Raw genomic sequence first — 19,618 nt, 5'->3', positions numbered from 1 at the left:
GGGGTGGGGGCTGCATGATTTCGATAAGATGACTCGGGGCCTGCGGTCACCAACTCATCCATGATTAAATGTTGCTTGTGAAAACTGTGGGTGATTTTCAGTTCTGACCAATTGAATACTTACAGTATATTCTGGGAAAGGTGTGTTTTGCTTAGGTGGCAACATTAGGAAAAAGGAAGAAGGATTTCCCTATGCCATTTTCAAAATGAATGTGATGGCTCCTTATCTCGTTTCTTTCATTGGTCTGCTAGTCCCATTATGTCAGGGATTATATTATTATAACATAGATTATCTTATTAAAACAGATTCTAACACAGAAAACAAAATCAAAATGAATTAAAAAACTACACTAGCCAAAATCTACATACTTCAGGAAACCTCCAATAAATAGCCATAATTTACCTAATATTTTGAATCATTGAAATGAAATCTCAGAACACAATGAATTCCATAAAAATGTTTTAATATACTCTTGTTATTTATCTCTAAATGCCTTTTAAGTTTCCCCCAGTTATTTATTGAAAATCTTTGCCTACAGCAGACAGTGCCGGATTTGAGCCTTGGCTCAGTTACTTTCTATCCCTATTATCTTGCGGGTAATCAGTTTCTTCATCTCCAAAATAGAGATGAAAATGGTCCTATCTCATGCGATTGTTGCAAGGCTTAATGAGAACATGGAAAGCACTTAGCATAGTGTCTGGTATGTAGCAACTACTCATCAAATGCATGCAATAATTATTGTCTGTCCATTTCGCTTTTCCATGGGGGGCAGGAACGTATATTGGGAAGCACATGGTGTCTGGAGTGAGTCTGTTCTGGGGTCTAGTTCTGAGTCAGCCACTTACTCCATGTGGCATCTTGAGAAATTTAATTAACCATTTGAGCCCTATTTCCTCATTTCTAAAATGGATATAATAATATCCAGTTCACTGGGTTGTTGTAAGCACAGTGCCTATTAAGTCCTCTTCTTACCAATCAATTATCAACAAGTGAACATTTATGAAGTCTATTCCAAGGACAATGCAAAGCACAAGGTGTAACAGGAAGTTTTAATAGAAAATAAACGCGCGTTCTCCACCACGGCCAAGGAGAGCATCTAACAAGTCATGCCAACCATGCACAATGAATTGCTGATGATATATGCAAATTAAAGTGGATCTCTAATCCATGCCCATTTATATTTTTCGAGTGTAGATGTGGATAAATTTTCAATGAGAGCCTTTTTCCTGGTATTCTTACAAGTCAGCAGATCTCCAAAGCCCAACTAAAATATGGGCTGATTAAAGACTCCAGAAAAACTGAAACAGTCGCAAACTGCTCGGTGGCCAGTGCCACAGAAACTAGGACGAAACGAGCCTCTTCTTTCTAACCAAGGGCAGATCTCAGGCTCTCTTGGGGAGGTAAAGCGGAAGGGTGAAATGCCGGTCAAGTTGCCTAGACTCTGATGGAAGCGGTGGCCAAAGGGCCCCTCCCCAGTGTCACCAGCCTCCCCATTCCTGTCACGGAGGATTTTCCTCAGGCGTCGTGACAGACCCGAGGCGTGTTGCCGGGGCCCGCCGGGCCGAGGAGGAGCCGACGCGGCCCGGGGAACTCCAGTCCTCACACGGTTAACGCTCTTCCAAGGAGAGTGGAGGAGGGAGGGTCCCCGCCCACGAGAACGAAGAGAATCTCAGGGCCGAAGCCCCGCCTCAGCCGGCCCGGCCCCTCCCCGCCAGCCCGCCACCCAACTCGGGCCGCACCAGGGGCCGCACCTGCCCGCGCGCACACGCCCCCCGCGCGCCAGGCCTCGCCGCCGCCGCCGCCCTCGGCACGCGCCCGCTGCGGCTGCCCCCCACCGCCCTGCCTCGGCGCGGGCCACAGCGCACGAGCCGCCGCCGCCGCCGCCGCGCTCCTCCCCGCCGCGGACGCCGCCCCCGCGTAACCGCCGAGGAAGCCGAGGCGAGCCCGGGTCGGGCGCGAGGGCGCGCGGGCCGCTGCTGCCACCGCGGGTGTTCCCTGCGCTCCCGCTCCAGCTAGGACTCTCTCTGCCGCCTCCTCCTCCTCCTCCGACCTCAGTCCTCACCACCCTCCTCCCGCTCCTCAAAAGCACCCCCGAGTCCCCACCCCCTCACGCCGCACCCGCGGGAACGAGGCCTTGGGAATTCAGGGGAGTGGCTGTGGGGGCGCGTCGCGGCTCCCAGCTCGGCCAGCCCCTCTTTCAAGACATGGTCTGATCCCCATTGTAAAAGCTGCGCCCCGAAGAGGAGGAGAGAGTCGTGCTCCCTGCCTGGGGCTGCAGGGAGCTCTCCGTGCTGAAGCTCTTGCATTATTTTAGGGTGGGGCGAAGAGGGCCCTGGATTTTGGGGAGTGGGGGTGGGTGGGGAGGAGGACCCGAGGGGGGCAAGGACTCTGTGGGGGAGTCGGTGAGAGACTATGGGGAAGGACCAGGAGCTGCTGGAAGCTGCTCGCACTGGAAATGTGGCTCTGGTGGAGAAACTCCTGTCTGGCAGGAAAGGAGGGATCCTGGGCGGTGGATCCGGACCCCTGCCCCTGTCTAATCTGCTAAGGTAAGGACGGGCACCAGCTCCGGGGTTGGCACACCTCATTATGCATTGTGATGGATATACGTCCTCCTCCTCACGGTTATTGCACCTGGTGGCTGCCAGCGATTCATTCTTAAATTAGGTAGGAAAACAGACTGCGTGTATGGAGAGGAGGTATGAGCCTCCCAGTCAGATTGATGCCTTAGATTCTTTGAGTAATTTTAAAATAGCCTTCCATCAATGCGTCAGTAAGCTACTTTTCCTCTGAGCCCTGGTGCAGAACTTGTACATGTACTAGTGTTGCTTGAAGAAAATCGACGTTCCGCCCGCTTTCCATCAACATTTATTACATATTTGCAGCTTTGAACGCAGCCTTTTTTGTCTAGTTAAATGAAATTGGCAGAGAATCTCTTGCGTGCATGCAATTACCCTGCAAAAGCCACAGCCTTCGGTGGCTCCTACCTTCTCTTGCAGAAGGCGTTTGCTGTGCCGTGGGTTATGATCCCACAAAATGAAGTGAGTGAACCTTCTTTCTGGTGAGATGTCTTCAGCACAGGGTGTGTATAAAACTTGATGGGGCAGGTTAGGCAGCCCCAGCAATACTTTCAGTTACCTGGACATAGCTGAGTGAAACTTGGTTGTTATAGCTCAGGATGAAGGATGCCAGGTTGGTATTGGGATACTGTATATGGAGTACGGTAGAGGCCTTTTAACGTGAAGATGTCGTAGGTGAGACTGGTATTGCTTGGAGAATCTTTCTAAGATGACATTTAAAAAAAATGTCAAGGTCTTCATTCAGCAGTACCTTGGAAATAGCGGGGTTGATTTCCATACTTGAGAAACTATTAAAAGTTGTATTGATGGACAAATGAAATCAACTGGGAGGGAGGAAGCCTGGAGAGTATTCACTAGATACAATTCAAGGGAAGCTCTTTAGTTTCTAAAATCGTGGCTATCCAATTTATCCTGGGTATTTTTGGAGTCATCAATTGTCATTCATATCTTCGCCTTAAAACATCTCTTGGATAACCCAACTATAGTTGTAAAAATTTTAGAAAGCCCAAGTGATTTCCCTGGTTTTTTAAAAACTGTTCCATGCTACCCTTGACAAGTGCTTAATAGAAACTTTTGGGTGATGACATTGCGTTCTTTACACAAGTTCTCATAGGTTGTGGTGGTCAGACAGTGCAATTAATTATAGGGCTAGCTAAAAGGGAAAATGGAAAGTTTCTATTACAGTGAAATAAATTGAGTTGAAAAATAGTCGATGGGATTTTAAAAAGCCCCATATGTTATTCTATATACTCGTTGACAGTGACATTTTATTGGAATGATAGTTCATGTCAGAAGAATGAATATTTATGGGACATTTTTTCAATAGGTCATAGAGATGACTTGTGTGTACTCCCTTGTTAAATAATCTTCTCTTTCAAACACAGGTAGACAATGTGTGCATATTTCAGATTGCAGCTCTAATAATTGCCTGTAGTCACATGTAGTTTATGTGAAAGCAATTTATCTCTTTACAGTTTTAAGTTACACGTAAAATAACAACGTTTGCTGTGGATCCATCAGTTATAAAAATGATTATGTCTAAAAACTGGTATGCTGAAAGAATTTTCTCAAAATAAACAATTTCTTCGGGAAAACATGAGGAATTATTTGAGAACAGTGAGAATTTCACTTAATTTTATTGTGATAAATCGTATTTTAAAAACACTCCTTGTGACAAAACTCAAAAGCAAACATCCTTTAAATACTCCTTTCCCAGCTGTGATTTTTTTTTTTTTTTTTAAAGAATAGATGTCAAGTTTTAGGGATAAAACACCAAGTATTTAATGTTAGTGGACACTAAAGTATCAAAATAGTGACCCACAGTGTATATCTTGAGTGAGAGGTTTTCTCTTTTGCTGGTGTAGTAGTAGTAGTAGTAGCTCTACAACAAAGATTGCACATAGAAAACAAAAGTAAACAACATGTGTTTATTAGAGTACTTCGAACCAAGTTGTAAAAATCACAAACAAAACCAATAACCTTTAAACTTGCTTTTATCCATCTTATACTGAATAGTGTCTGAAGAAAATGAGAGTTGAAATTGTATTCTTTGGGCAATCATTTGCATAAAATGACATTCCTAAGAAGGCACATTTTATTTAGTTGTCACTTTATTTCAAAAATGATTGTCATCAGAAATTTATTGGCAGGATAATGGAAAATGTGTCCCCCGTCAAACATAATGACACTTTGAAATTTCTTAATGTTTTAGAAGGAACTGTAGAATATGTTTGGCACTTTTTCCCCGCTTGCTTTATTACCTGGGTTGTGTAATAATGGTGTCAGACCCTATGCTAAGTGCTTACACGTGTCATCTCATTCAATTCTTGTGTCAGCCTTAGGAGGTCCATTGTCATTTCACAGATGAAGGAATAAAAAGATAAGATTAAGGACTTGCCCATGGTCACTTAATTAATAATGGCAAAGATTTGAAAATCTGTGATTCAGATTTGTTTTACAACATTTTAAGTCTCATTCATTGAATCTGTTTTATTCACAAAAGTTTAAAGGTATGTGGCCAATTTAGACAGGCCAATCTGAACATTTTTTGCTATGAAGAATAATTTGAAATTCCTTAAATTTTGGTATTTTTTTCTAATTAAAAAAATCTCACAACTGCCCTTTGAGGGTTCACTAGACAAGAACTTTTCTGAAGATGCTTCTGATTACTTGTTATCTACTGGTAATAAGAAATTATCCTTTCAACAGTAACTATGTAATGGGGAATCAGGTATGCTTTTGGGTGGCACTGCAATTTTCAGCAAATGTAAGAATGCCATTGAATAAATTTAAAAACCTCTCTAAGCCTCACTATTCTATCAGAGTGGAAATAGTAATAATAGTACCTATCATATAAGATCATTATAAGGATTAAATGAAGTATAAAGTAATGAATGCAAAACATTTAGCATATAGGTGTTCATCGTTAGTGTTAATATTTTTCATGCACCTCTAAAGCACTTGACTGTATTCTTTAAGGCCTTAATGACTAAAGATTTGCTTCCTATTGGACTGGGAGTAAATTTCCCATAGCAATCATAGAATCGTCAAATAAGGAGGGAACTTTCTTCCAACTTCTCACCTAGTGCGGAAATTTTCTCTGTAACATTTCTTACCTGTTAGTTATTCCAGCCCTGTTAAACCTTCCAATGACTAGATTCATTCTATTTTTGACAGCTGTAATTATTTTAAAATTTTTCTTTTCATTGAGCTAAAATCCACTTCCCTGTGACTTTCAGCAATTGGTAGTAGATTGGCTGTATGGGTCAATATAAAGCAGTCTAATTCATCTGCAGGATAGTTCTTTAGATGCATGTATTTTTGTTTTCTTATAAGTATTTTTCATGGAAGAGCTATCATCTCTGTTAACCTTTTATATGGCAAGACAGCATAGATGTTAAGAACTTAGTTTTCATACTTTTCTCTACTCTCTCTTTCCTTCTTTACATATTCTCAAATTTTGCAATGACCCTCTTAAAGTATGGTGACTAGAAATTCACAAAATGCAGTAGATGTCCCTTGACCAGAGTAGAACATTATGGCTGAATAAGAAAACCAAGGACAGCAGGTTACAAGAAGCATTTATAGTATGATCTTATTTTTGCAAGAAAAAATAAGTTTGTTTGAACACTTATAATGTGCTTAAGAAGTCTGGAATGATAAGATGCCAAAATGAAGATAGTATTCATCTTTGAGTGGTGGAATTGTGGTTGGGCTTTATTTTCAGTGTTCTGTAATGAATATGTATTATGTAATTAAAATAAAATAGCAGCTATTAAAACATGATACAATGAAATTATTATCTCTTTATTATTGATCTAAGACCTACCTACAGGTCAAGATTTTCTGGGCCATGTAATGGTGTTGGCTCATGTTGAACATACAGTCAATTAAAATTTCCTGGTATTTTTTTTTTTCAATGACCTGTGAAGCCAGGTCCCCTTTCTGGTACTTTTAAAAGTGTTGATTGAGCTTAAATTATTCCTGTTCCTTTTTATCTGATTTGTTTTATGTTGTATTTGTAATTTCTCTATATCTTTTTGACTCTTTTTTTTCTTCTTTCTGACTCTTGAGTCTGTCTTTCAGCGTATTAACTTCTCTCCCCTGTATCATCCAGAGATGTAATAAGCATGTTTTCTATAACCTAAATTCAACACACTGTGCTATATCCCCAAAGCACCTCTCTTCAACTTAGTATAAATTTAAAAGTAACAGTCTTTACTCATGGTATTTCTACCAGGATTGAAGCCACGCAATGACAATCAGCTATTTCTCTCCATTGTTCCTGTGAGAATATTGTGAGGTATTTTATCTACTGCCTTTCTAAATTCACACTGTATTTAAGTGTATGGCATTCTTTTGATCTATCCTTTAAATTCCATCAAAATCAGTCTACTTTATTATGGCTTGTTTCTGGCAGTGAGCCATTGGTAATTCCTAGTATTGGCAAAAATTCCTTCTACCCTCTTGCATCTAATTCTTCTGGGTCTGGATATGCATACTTATTTAAAGCAGCTTACTGTCCCTTATGGTCTCGTTTGGACCTTCAGTAATCTCCTGAAGTTATTTGTTTATCCCTTCTGATTTGAAAATGGTTCTCAATAGGGAAAATAGAAGCAAAATAAAAGTTGGGAAGAATTAGATTCTTGGCATTGTTAGATATCATAGAAAATTATCTTGTGGTTTAAAACTACCCACAGTTTTCCTTTTACTCTGCCAGAACTGAAGGTGAAATTAGTGAACTGTTACACCTCTTTTCTCTTTTTCAAACTTAGCTAAAAAGGACATTAGCATTTTTCCTGGACAAGTATATATTTCTTTTTTTGTGTTTGCTTGCAGTTATACCTCTTACTACCCCCTTTCATCCTTAAAGAAATCTGAGCTCATCAGAGCACTAAAATTGAGTTGCCTCCCTCCTTTTCTTCCTCTACATTTTATGTGAAATTTCAGTTTATTTAACATATCTTTTATGAGACAGCTGCAAAATCTTAAAAAAAAACCTCTCTTCCTTTGGCACAACTACCTTTTATTCTAAACAAAACTAATTTCCATTTAAAATGTATATTTAATTAATTTTTTGCTGAGTATAGGATAGAGAATTATTTGTATTTTAATACAGTGATAAAACTTTATTAATGCCTCAATTTATTTGATTTTCTTAATGCCTCGAAGAGTTGAGTTTTATATAAGGTGTATTTAGTAAATTCTTGTCAGAAATAAATAATACAGTTCTTAAGATCCCCATGTGAAAAAGTAGATCAATAAGAAGTGGAGCAAAACAATCTTCTGGTCACCAAAAACATAAAAACCAGAGAGCTTATAATTTTTCAGATTTAGGATTCAGCTCATGTCATTTTGGTGATGAATACAGGGAGATAACAGACAACTAGGAAGTACTGTAATTTTCACAACTATTTGGGCAATTGTGGTTATTGGGACCCTGATATAAGAAACTCACTTTCAGGGAAACTGCATTGGTTAAATGGAATAAATCACAAATAGAGCAGTTAAGCTCCATGAAAATGTTATATCTATAAAAATAGTCAAGTTGCAAGTGGGTTATCTATTTTAGATAGTAATGATGTTTGAAGTGGTGATTGCACCATTATGTTCAGGGAGCTGTATCTGCCAGAGTGAACAGTGCCAGCTGCATGATGGGGAGTAAGGAGAAAGGAGGGTGAATTTTGGTATTGACCTCTTTCTCCACTGAGCAGGGTTTTCAGCTCCCTTTTCAAAACACTGAGGGTGATGTGTAGCAGTGAACTAGGGCAGCCAGCCAGTGACTACTACTCAACCTGTCCATCCATTGCACAGTTTCTTGTGTGACTCGATTTCTTACAGATGACAAAGGCTGATGCAAGTCTTCACTGACATTAAGGCAGAAGCATATAATATTTATTAGTGCCTCTGCTGACTTTAGCAACTTAACCTTTCAGGTGACAGTAAACAATTTGATTAGTTCAGTTATATACTGAAATAATTTTGAGGTAATTTTGGAAAATTCTATCAGAAGCCTATGATAGAACATTATTCCTGAGTATTTAACTAGAAATGGAAGCTGACTATAATGCCAGACAAAGGTTAGAAAAGACTAATTTCAACCTATGGAACCTGAAGATATTTAACACTTAATGCATTTTAGAGTGTCTTTAGTTTCCGTTTTGGACATATTGCAGAATGATGTTAGTTAATTAAAATACAGTGAGTTTTTATTACTCATCATATGTTGATATGGGAGAATATTTTATATTTGAAAAAGGAATTTACAAAGAAGACGCTTCTATCTTCCAGTTCTTTCTCATGCATGTGAGGACATGGTTATGTAAGCCGTACGGGCAGGCAGAGGCACAATGCCAGTTGAAAACTCATTGAATTTTCTTGTGTAATACAGATCTAGAAACTTTTCTTAAGAGTCTACTTTTCTTCTTTGGTGTCAGTAGGATATCAAATACATTTTACATTTGTGTTAAATCTGGATGAGGCTTTTAATTGATATTTGAAGATGGATCAAAAAATATGACCAAAGGATAAATTTTGTTTTCCACAGTGCTATGATTTGAGTGTTGTCTCCAAAACTCATGTTGAAATTTATTTGTCATTGTGACAGTATGAAGAGATGGGATCTGTCTGGACGTGGTGGCTCACACCTGTAATCGCAGGCTTTGGGAGGCTGAGACGGGAGTATCACTTGAGGCCAGGGGTTCAAGAATAGCCTAGGCAACATAGTGAGACCCTGTCTCTATAAAAAACAAAACAAAACAAAATGGCCAGGTGTGGCATTGCACGTCTGTAGCCCCAACTACTTGAGAGGCTGGGTGGGGAGAATTGCTTGAACCCAGGAGTTTGAGGCTGCAGTGAGCAATGATCATGCCCCTGAACTCCAGCCTAGGTGACAGAGTGAGACCCTACTCAAAATAAAAACAAAACAAACAGGTGAGATCTTTTAGAGGTGATTAGGCCATGAGGGCTCTGCATGTATGAATGGATTAATGCCATTATTGTGGGAGTGGGTTAGGTGTCATGGGAGGCTCCTCACAAAATAATGAGTTCAGCCCAATTTCCTCTTTCTGTTGCCCATGCTTGCTTGCCCTTCTGCCTTCTGCCATGGGATGATGCAATAAGAAGGTCCTCACCAAATGCTGAGCAAATGCTAGTACCATGCTCTTTTACTTCCCAGCATCCAGAAATGTGAATCACAAAAACATACATTGTTTGTAAACTACCCAGTCTCAGGTACTCTCTTATAGGAACACAAAATAGACTAAGACACTCTGTTTCTTCTACTGCACTGTCCAGAGTGTTCATCTCTGAATCTGATTCTTATGAATCATGTTTCTTATTAAATGACATGTCTTCATGGATCTAGTTGTGAAATGGAACTTTGATTAAGCTGTGCAGTAGAGTTATTTGGATTCTATTGTGTTATGAGAGTAGCTTTATTTGAAGTGGTTAATCACTTCTAGTTAACTGAACTGAAACAAACTGCTTAGACTTGTTACCATTCTTTGATCAAATTGGATCAAATCTTGATTGATGGATGTGAGCATAAACAGCCAACCTCCTTTCCTGTTTCTATTTCCCACACCACATTCCCTTTAACCCTCCTCAATCACATCTCAGAAAAAAAGCGTTTTTTTCTAATTACTACAAGTTCACCCTGGCTCCAGTTTTTGTGCCAGCTGGCATCATCTCTAGATTCCAGCCTATCTGAATATTTAAAAAAAATTTTCAACAGATTTTAGATACAGGAAGTATGTATGTAGATTAGTTACATGGAAATATTGCATGACACTGAGGTTTGGAGCATGGATCCTGTCACCTAGGTAGTGAGCATAGTACCTAATAGGCTGTTTTTTAATCTACCCCCCTTCCACCCTCTAGTAGTCCACTGTGTCTTTCGTTCCCTTATTTATGTCCACATATGCTTTATATTTAGCTCCCACTTATAAGTGAGAACATGTGGTATTTGGTCTTCTGTTCCTGTGTTAATTTTCTTAGGATTATGGCCTCCAGCTCCATCCATGTTGCTGCAGAGGACATGGATTCATTCTTTTTTATGGCTACCTAGTATTCCATGGTGTATATGTACCACATTTTCTTGTCCAGTCTACCATTGATGGGCATCTAGATTGATTCCATGTCTTTGCTATTGTGCATAGCACAGCAATGAACATGAATGCATGTGTCTTTTTGGTAGAATGATTTATTTTCTTTTGGGTATATACACAGCAATGGGATTGCTGGGTCGAATGGTAGCAATTTTAGGTTCTTTGAGAAATCTCTGTACTACCTTCCACACTGACAGACAACCTACAGAATGGGAGAAGATATTTGCAATCTGTGTATCTGACAAAGGCCTAATATCCAGAAGCTATAGGGAACTTAAGTCAACAAGCAAAAAACAAGTAACTCTATTAAAAAATGAGTAAAGTACATGAACAGACATTTCTCAAAAGAAGACATACAAGTGGCCAACAAACATAAAAAATGCTCAGCATCACTAGTTATCAGAGAAATGCAAATCAAAACCACAGTGAGAGATAGCATCTCACACTAGTCAGAATGGCTGTTATTTAAAAGTCGAAAGACAATAGATGCTGGTGAGGCTGCAGAGGAAAGGGAATGCTTATACCTCAATGTTAATTTATCCTCTAACGTCATGGACCCAGTGCCTTTTCTTTCCTTTCTTTACCACCAAAAAGTGTTTGTGGGACCTGACAGTTAATTCATAGTGAAGTTGTAATTGATTGGTAAAGCTTTTAGAAAGAAGCAGCTCTTTTCGTATTTTCATTTAAAGAGGCAACAAAACATTAGGCCAAAATAGTAAAGCCATCGACCTCTTCTGGCAGAACAAATGGAGTGGATTTTGCCAGGCTCGTAAGAGAATGTTGGATACAGGTGGTAATTCTTCCATTTTTTTGGAGACAAGTTCTCACTCTGTCACCCAGGCCGGGGTGCTGTGGTGCAATCACAGCTTACTGCAGCCTCATTGCCCCCCAGGGTCAAGTGATTCTCATGTCTTAGACCCCAAGTAGCTGGGACTACCAGCATGTGCCACCATGCCCAACCAATTTTTTGATTTTTTTTTATAAGGACAGAGCCTCACTGTTCCTCAAACTCCTGCCATACATAGTGATTCTTCTGATGAATCTGTGCAAAGTAAATTGAAAACCTTCTGGAAAGGATTGACCATGCTAGACACCATTAAGAACATTTGTGGGCCAGGCACAGTGGCTCATGCCCGTAATCCCAGCTCTTTGGGAGGCCAAGGTAGGAGGATCACTTGAATCCAGGAGTTCAAGACCAACTTGGGCAACATAGGGAAACCCTGTCTGTTGGGGTCTGTTGTTGAGGGCTCAAGTGATCCTCCTGCCTTGCTGTTCTTGAACTCCTGGGTTGGTCTCGAACTCCTGGGATCAAGCCATCCTCCTGACTTGGCCTCCCAAAGTTCTGGGATTATAGGTGTGAACCACCATGCCTGGCTAATTCTTCCTTCTTAAAGGCTGAAGGGGAAGGGATTTGACTGGAGACATGAGAAATGAGAGAGTATATGGCTGGTGATAGAAAAGTATTTTCTTTTTGCTACTCATTTAGTCTCTAGAATTTTTTATTGGATTATATAAACCCATTTTAGATATAAACATATATTATTTGCCTATATCAGACGTTATTACTTAGATGTACAGGCATAGCTCAGACATATTGTGGATTTGTTTTCAGACCACTGCAATAAAGTGAGTCATACAAAATTTTTGGTTATCCAGTGCATATAAAAGTTATGTTTACACTATATTGTACTGTTAAGTGTGCAACATCCTTATATCTAACAAAACAATGTACGTAATTAAAAAATACTTCATTGCTAAAAATGCTAATGATCATTTGAGCCTTCAGCAAGTTGTAATCCTTTTGCTGGTAGAAGGTCTTGTCTCAATGTTGTTGGCTGGTGACTGATTAGAATGGTGGTTGCTGAAGGTTGGGATGGCTGTGGCAATTTCTTAAATGAGACAGTAATGAAGTTTCACATTAGTTGACTGTTCCTTTCACAAAAGATGTTTCCGTAGCATGGGATGCTGTTTGATAGCATTTTACCCATGGTAGAACTTTCAAAATTGGAGTCACTGGAGTCACTCCTCTCAAGCCTTGCTGCTGCTTTATTTATGTTATGTTATAAATCCTTTGTTGATGTTTCAGCAATGTTCACAGTGTCTTCACCAGGAGTCGATTCCACTCGTGAAACCACTTTCTTTGCTTATCCATAAGAAGCAACTCCTTATCTGTTCAAATTTTATCATGAGATTGTTGTCAGTTAGTCCAATTTTCAGGCTTCACTTCTATTTCACTTGCTATTTCCACCACATCTGCAGTTCCTTCCTCTGTTGAAATCATGAATCCCTCAAAATCAGTCATAAGAGTTAGAATCAACTTCTTCCAAAACTCCTGTTAATGTTGGCCTCCTCCCATGAACCACAAATGTTTTATCTATTTATTTGTGATAGGGTCTCACTCTGTCACCCAGGCCTGGAGTGCAGTGGCATGATCACTGTGCTCACTGCAGCCTTGACCTCCCAGACTCAGTGATTCTTTGCTTTCAGCCTCCTGTGTAGCTGGGACCACAGGCATGTGCTACCAAGCCTGGATAATTTTTAAATTTTTTGTAGAGACAGGGTTTCCCTATGTTGCCCAGACTGGTCTTGAACTTCTGGGCTCAAGTGATCCTCCCACCTTGGCCTCCCAAAGTGTTGGGATTACAGGCATGGGCCACTGCACCTGGCCCGCAAATGTTCTTAGTGGTTCTATAGCTACCACTAGGTATGGCAGCTATAACCTTACAAAATGTATTTCTTAAATAAGAAGACTTGAAAGCCAAAATTACTCCTCAATCTCTGGGCTACAGAATGGATGTTGTGTTAGCAGGCATGGAAACAACACTAGTCTCTTGTACATCTCCATCAGAGCTCTTGTGTGACTAGTGCACTGCCACTGAGCTGTAATATTTTGAAGGGAATCTTTTTTTCTGTGAGTGGTAGGTCTCAACATTGGGCTTAAAATATTCAGTAAACCATGCTACAAACAGATGTGCTGTCATCCAGGCTTTGTTGTGCCACTTGCAGAGCACAGGCACAGTAGATTTGGCATCATTTTTAAGGGCCCTAGGATTTTTGGAATGGTAAATAAGCATTGGTTTCAAGTTAAAGTCACCAGCTACATTAACCCCTAACAAGAGAGCCTGTCCTTTGAAGCTTTGAAGCCAGGCAGTGACTTCTCTTTAGCTATGAAAGTCCTAGATGGCATCTTCTTCCAATAGAAGGCTGTTTCATCTACACTGAAATTTTGTTGTTTAGTGTAGTCACCTTTATCAATTATCTTAGCTAGATCTTCTGGATAACTTGCTGCAGCTTCTGCATCAGCATTTAACTACTTCACCTTGCCATTTTATGTCATGGAGATGGCTTTTTTCCTTAAGCCCCCTGAACCTCTGCTACCTTCAGATTTTTCTTCTGCAGCTTCCCCAGCTCCATCAGCTCTTGATGGAATTGAAGAGAGTTAGGGCCTTGCTCTGGATTAGGCTTTGCCTTAAGGGAATGTTGTGTTGCTGTTATGATCTTCTATCCAGACCCCTCAAACTTTCTCCATATCAGCAATAAGGCTCTTCGGCTTTCTTATCATTCATGTGTTCACTGGAGTAGCACTTTTCATTTCCTTCATGAACTTTTCCTTTGCATTTGCAGCTTGGCTAACTGTTAGGCATAAGAGGCCTAGCTTTCAGTCTGTCTCGACTTTTAACATGCTTTCCTCACTAAGTTTATTCATTTCTAGCTTTTCGTTTAAAGTGAGAAACGTGTGACTCTTCCTTTCACTTGAACACTTATAGGTCAGTGAAGGGTTATTCATTGGCCTAATTTTAATATTGTTGTATCCGAGGGAATAGGGAGGCCCAAGGAGAGGGAGAGAGATGGAATGGCCAGTTGGTGGAGTGGTGAGAACACACACAGCATTATTCAGTTCACAGATGATCATAACAGATATAAAAATAATGAAACAGTTTGAAATATTGTGAGAATTACCAACATGTGACACAGAGACATGAACTGAGCACATTGGCCTAATTGGAAAAATGGACTTGTTAGACACATGGTTCCTATAAATCTTCAATTTTTAAAAAAGTACAGTATCTATGAAGTGTGCACTAAAAGTATTTCTGTACACATTTATTATATCACAGGTGACAGAGATATGGAACAAAGTTGTATCACAGCTTTAATGCCTAATGTGGCTTGAGATTCAAATGTTAAAAAATGTATTTTGTTTTTCTTTTTAAAAAAATTGTGTTGCAAGTTGGCTTCAGCATCCAGGTTATTCCTAAAACTTATGTTTTACGGTACAGGGAAAGCATTTGAAGTTCTGATACCTGGATCTCAATTAGTATTCTTCCACATTGATTTTTCTTTCTTTTTTTTTTTTTTGGCCTGAATTACTATTAGTCACTTTAGGTTCTTGTTTGGTACCTCTAGTTAGTAATCTGCATTTGAAATGTTTTATGTATTACACAAATATACTAAATATAGTATCTAGTGTTTTGAATATACTAAAAAACTGCTCTATTTACTTACAGAATTATCTCTGTTTTATATAGATATTTTACTGCTAGTGCGGAGATGGCAGTGAGTGGGAGTGTGTTTGGGGGAAGCAGCAAGAATTCTGCAGGGATGTTCTTTGGCTGGGTAAACTCCAGCAATGGAGGAGCCCAGAGCAGAGTTATTCCTGTTAGCCTGCTTTGGCTATTGACCAGAGTGGTCTGTCATCCTGAAGGTTGATAGAAACTTTGAAGACATAAGCAGAGAACGTGAAGAATTACAAACAATGGTTAAACTATTTCTTAAAAATTTTTCATGGGTTTGTTTTATGCTACGTGTGTGTGTATATATATATGTATATATTAGACAAAGCTCATTAATCATTGAGCCAAGTGTTATCCAACTAACCAGCAGGGCACTCAGGATTTTTTAGAAAACTGATAACTAAGAACAGTGATAACAAAAAATAGGTCTTTACTTATTTTAACAAGTATTTGCTGAGTACTTTGTGGATTCTAAAACTAAATGAGATCATCTCTACCTACCCCATGTACTTGCAGAATAATGGGATAGATCTATCAGCAAAAAGGTAAAATACAGGGTGATATATGGAGCAATGGAAATACCAAATAATGCTGTAGGAATACTAGGAGCAAGAAGGAGGCACCCAGAATTTGACTTGGAGGAGTATTCAGGGGAAACTGCAGAGAGGAGGTAGTGCTTGAATCTTGTGGGATGAATAGGAATTTTCCAGACAAGTTGGAGAAAGGGCATTTCAGGCAGAAGGAACAGTATATTCAATAATAGTGTGTGAAAATATAGAATATAGCTTGGGGTATTATAAGTAGTTTGATATGGAGCATGGACAAGAGCTAAGTCTGGAGATAGAAGGACCTTGTGTGTTGCCCTAAGGAGTTTGAGCCTAATCCTGAAGGCCATGAGGATCCAATGTGTTTTTTTTTTTCAATTTTAATGTGTTAGTGATTCATTTATAATAATAGCATGACTATTTAAAACTTTGAGTAAAAGATCAAAAATTACCTTTAATCTTATTGCTAAAAACAACTTTTTTCTTAAGCATGTTTAATGTAGTTATCAGATAAAGCGTACAAGTTTGGATCCTGAATTTTTCACTTAAGGGTATATCATACACCTTTTCAATGCTATTTCAAAGTCTTCATAGTTATTTTTAATGGCATCATCGTATTCCATCTACTGCATACTTTTCATAGATGTCCTCCATCAGAAGCACCTATGGTTGTTTGTTAAACGTGTTATTTCCTGATCCCACCCCAGGATTTCTGAGTATTCTAAGAATTTCTAAGTGTAAGGCCTGGAAATATGCATTTTACAACCCCCTAGAACATTCTTATGTGCACTAAAATTTGAGAACCACTAATCTGGTGTATATACTGTTGTTACTTAATATTTTCTTAATGATAGATACTTGGATGATTTTTGACTTTATTATTATTATAAGCAATGTTGTAAACATCACACAGGCCACTTTTTTTACATAAAATTATATTCTTCAATCTTTACAAGTCTTGCAATGTCTTCCCCATTTTTATTTATGGGTGAAAAGGTTAGAAAAATTGAATAACTTGCCCAGAGTTACAAAGTCAGTAGTTTTATAATCAGTACTCATGCAGATTCAAGAAGCAAATTCAGGTGTTTCTGATCCCAGATATCTTTCAATTGTGCTGTATTGCTTCCTAGTGCCATAGGGATCAATGCATATCTTATGTTAAAATATGAATATACCAATATATTTCCAACATGTAAATGGAAAGTACATTTTCTACAAAATTATATAGTAATATATTTCAGTTCCTACATAGTTCTCAATTATTTTTGTGTGCTTATCAGTTTCATATTATTGGCAGTATTTTGCTTTAAATTTGTTTCTTGATAGCACATGAACAGTAAACTGAACTGAGTGGTAAAGTAAATCACCTAAAGACATTTTAAAAATATGCCCTTGTCAGTTATTTTCACTATATACAGTGTTAGTCCAGGTGTGTTGACTCACACCCGTAATCCCAGCACTCTGGGAGGCTGAGGCGGGAGGATTGCTTGAGCCAAGGAGTTCAAGACCAGGCTGGGCAACATAATAAGATCCTGTTTCTACAGAAAATAAAAAAATAAAAATAGCTGGGTGTGGTAGCGCATACCTATAGTCCTAGCTACTCAGGGGGATGAGGTAGAAGCATTGCTTGAGCCCAGGAGTTCAAGTCTACAGTGAGCTATGATCATGCCACTGTACTCCAGCCTGGGCAAAAAGAAAAAAACCTGAACCAGAACAACCCCCACAAAAACCCAGTGTGGAATTTTTTACCCCCAAAATTCTAGGTGCTTGATATTGTCTAACTTCTATTGTCTTCAAAGGTATTTTAATAACTTGTCCATCCCATGTTTCCAGATGGGCGAGTGTGTCAGTTCTTGTGTTGCTATAAAGAAATACCTGAGGCTGGATAATTTATAAAGAAAAGAGGTTTAATTGGCTCAGGGTTCTGCAGGCTGTACTGGAAGCATGGTGCTGGCATCTGCTTCAGGTGAGGCCTCAGGAAGCTTCCAATCACGGCAGAAGGCAAAGGTGAGCCAGTGTATAAAATGGTGAGACCAGGGGCAAGAGAGAGAGCAGGGAGGTGCCACACACTTTTAAACAACCAGATTTCATGTAAATTTGGAGAACTCAGTCATCACCAAGGGGATGCTGCTAAGCCGTTCATGAGGGGTCCACTCCCATGATCCAAGCACCTCCCACCAGACCCCACCTCCAACACTGGGAACCACATTTCGGTATGAGATTTGGAGGGAACAAACATCTAAACCATGTACGTGGGATTTATTTGTCCTCATTCCTTTCACACAAAGAAGGAAAGTACAGTGTTCACCACAGCATTGATTGATTGATTGATTGATTGATTGATTGATTGAGACAGAGGCTCGGTCTTTTGCCCAGGCTGGAGTGCAGTGGCACGATCTTGGCTCACTGCAAGTGCCGCCTCCAGGGTTCACGCCATTCTCCTGCCTCAGCCTCCCGAGTAGCCGGGACTACAGGCGCCCGCCACCACACCGGGCTATTTTTTTTTGTATTTTTAGTAGAGACGGGATTTCACTGTGTTAGCCAAATGGTCTCGATTTCCTGACCTCGTGATCCATCCGTCTCGGCCTCCCAAAGTGCTGGGATTACAGGCGTCAGCCACCACACCCAGCCCACAGCCCTCATTTATGATCCATCTCTTTCAGGCCAATAAATCTAAGCCTGTCGTTTTTAACTGAGCTCATTATTAATTCAGGGACTTTTGTCAACTCTAGTGTTAGGCTGTGTAGGAAAACTGGGGAACCAGGCAGTTTGTCCTTAGACCTTTCTCATCCCCTCTTCCTGTGCCCTTATGTCCCTTTGCTTAGCCTTTCTTCCTTTCATGGTTCTAAGGCATTCTTTGGCTTCTTCTACCCCAAACTCAGAAGTCTCATAATTTAGTTTTATCCTGTACCAATAAGAAGCTTTCCTATATGGCATTTTATTCCCTCATACCATAGATCTCCATTTTTCTTTTTTCTTTTTCTTTTTTTTTTTTTTTTGAGACGGAGTTTCGCCCTTGTCGCCCAGGCTGGAGTGCCGTGGTGTGATCTCGGCTCACTGCAACCTCCGCCTCCTGGGTTCAAGCGATTCTCCTGCCTCAGCCTCCAGAGTAGCTGGGACTACAGGCATGCACCACCATGCCCAGCTAATTTTTGTATTTTTAGTAGAGACGGCGTTTCACCATGTTGGCCAAGATGTTCTGGATCTCCTGATCTTGTGATCCGCCCGCCTCAGCCTCCCAAAGTGCTGGGATTACAGGTGTGAGCCACTGCGCCAGGTTCTATTTTTCAGAATAGTAAATTACATAGTGAAAGAAGAAGCAGAATGTAATGGAGTGACTTGTACCTGTAATCCCTGTGACTTGGGAGGCTGAGGCGGGAGGATTGCTTGAGCCCAGGAGTTTGAGGCTGCTGTGAACTATGATTACACCACTGCACTCCAGCCTGGGTAACAGAGCAAGACCCAATCTCTAAGAAAAGAAAAAACCGTAATGGAAAAATTCCGAGTCTTGAGTTTGAATGCAGACTCTGCAACTGAAAGGACATTTGGCGCTATGCAGGTGATTTAACTTCTTTGGGCTTCAGTTTCCTTATTTATAAAGTGGAGGTGATAACATCTATCTTGTAGAGTTGGAATGGTTAAAGATAATTTATATAAAATATCTATCACAGTGCCTATTACACAGGAGGAAATAAAATGCTTATTATTACTAAGCATTAATATCTATGCAATAAATAATTTAGATATTCAATAAATTATTCATAATTATAAATCATAATTATATATTTCATGAGTATCTTTTATTGAATGGGAAACTCTGGAATATTTGCATTATAATAAGTCATTTGTTTACACTGTCTTAACCTAAATCTTTA

At 39.7% G+C, this 19,618-nt stretch overlaps 1 protein-coding gene across 17 annotated transcripts in view, besides 2 other annotated features; it reads left to right on the top strand.

Moving 5' to 3' along the window:
• Positions 1,692-1,741: a silencer, noted in NCBI's record as "silent region_4760". NCBI's record gives its function as "represses an Ori minimal core promoter by ATAC-STARR-seq in GM12878 lymphoblastoid cells {active_cell/tissue: GM12878}" and the evidence as "EXISTENCE:reporter gene assay evidence [ECO:0000049][PMID:35858748]".
• Positions 1,714-19,618, top strand: part of ANKS1B (ankyrin repeat and sterile alpha motif domain containing 1B) — a 1,250,151-nt gene continuing 1,232,246 nt past the window's right edge. For 13 of the 17 annotated variants that reach the window (XM_006719514.5, XM_006719507.5, XM_005269029.6 and 10 more), the window contains exon 1: positions 1,714-2,546. In XM_006719514.5, the coding sequence (XP_006719577.1) occupies positions 2,413-2,546 (134 nt within the window). In that variant the 5' untranslated portion in view covers positions 1,714-2,412. The remainder of the gene's footprint in view (positions 2,547-19,618) is intronic. The other 4 variants (NM_152788.4, NM_001352185.1, NM_001352187.1 and 1 more) reach the window with 1 other exon arrangement.
• Positions 1,854-2,684: an enhancer, noted in NCBI's record as "H3K4me1 hESC enhancer chr12:100377744-100378574 (GRCh37/hg19 assembly coordinates)". NCBI's record gives its function as "activates a minimal SCP1, AML or CMV promoter by ChIP-STARR-seq in naive H9 embryonic stem cells {active_cell/tissue: H9 hESC(naive)}" and the evidence as "EXISTENCE:reporter gene assay evidence [ECO:0000049][PMID:30033119]".

The sequence above is a fragment of the Homo sapiens genome, chromosome 12 (genome assembly GCF_000001405.40).
Source record: "Homo sapiens chromosome 12, GRCh38.p14 Primary Assembly".
Taxonomy (NCBI): domain Eukaryota; kingdom Metazoa; phylum Chordata; class Mammalia; order Primates; family Hominidae; genus Homo; species Homo sapiens.
This window is presented reverse-complemented; position numbering and strand designations above follow the sequence as displayed.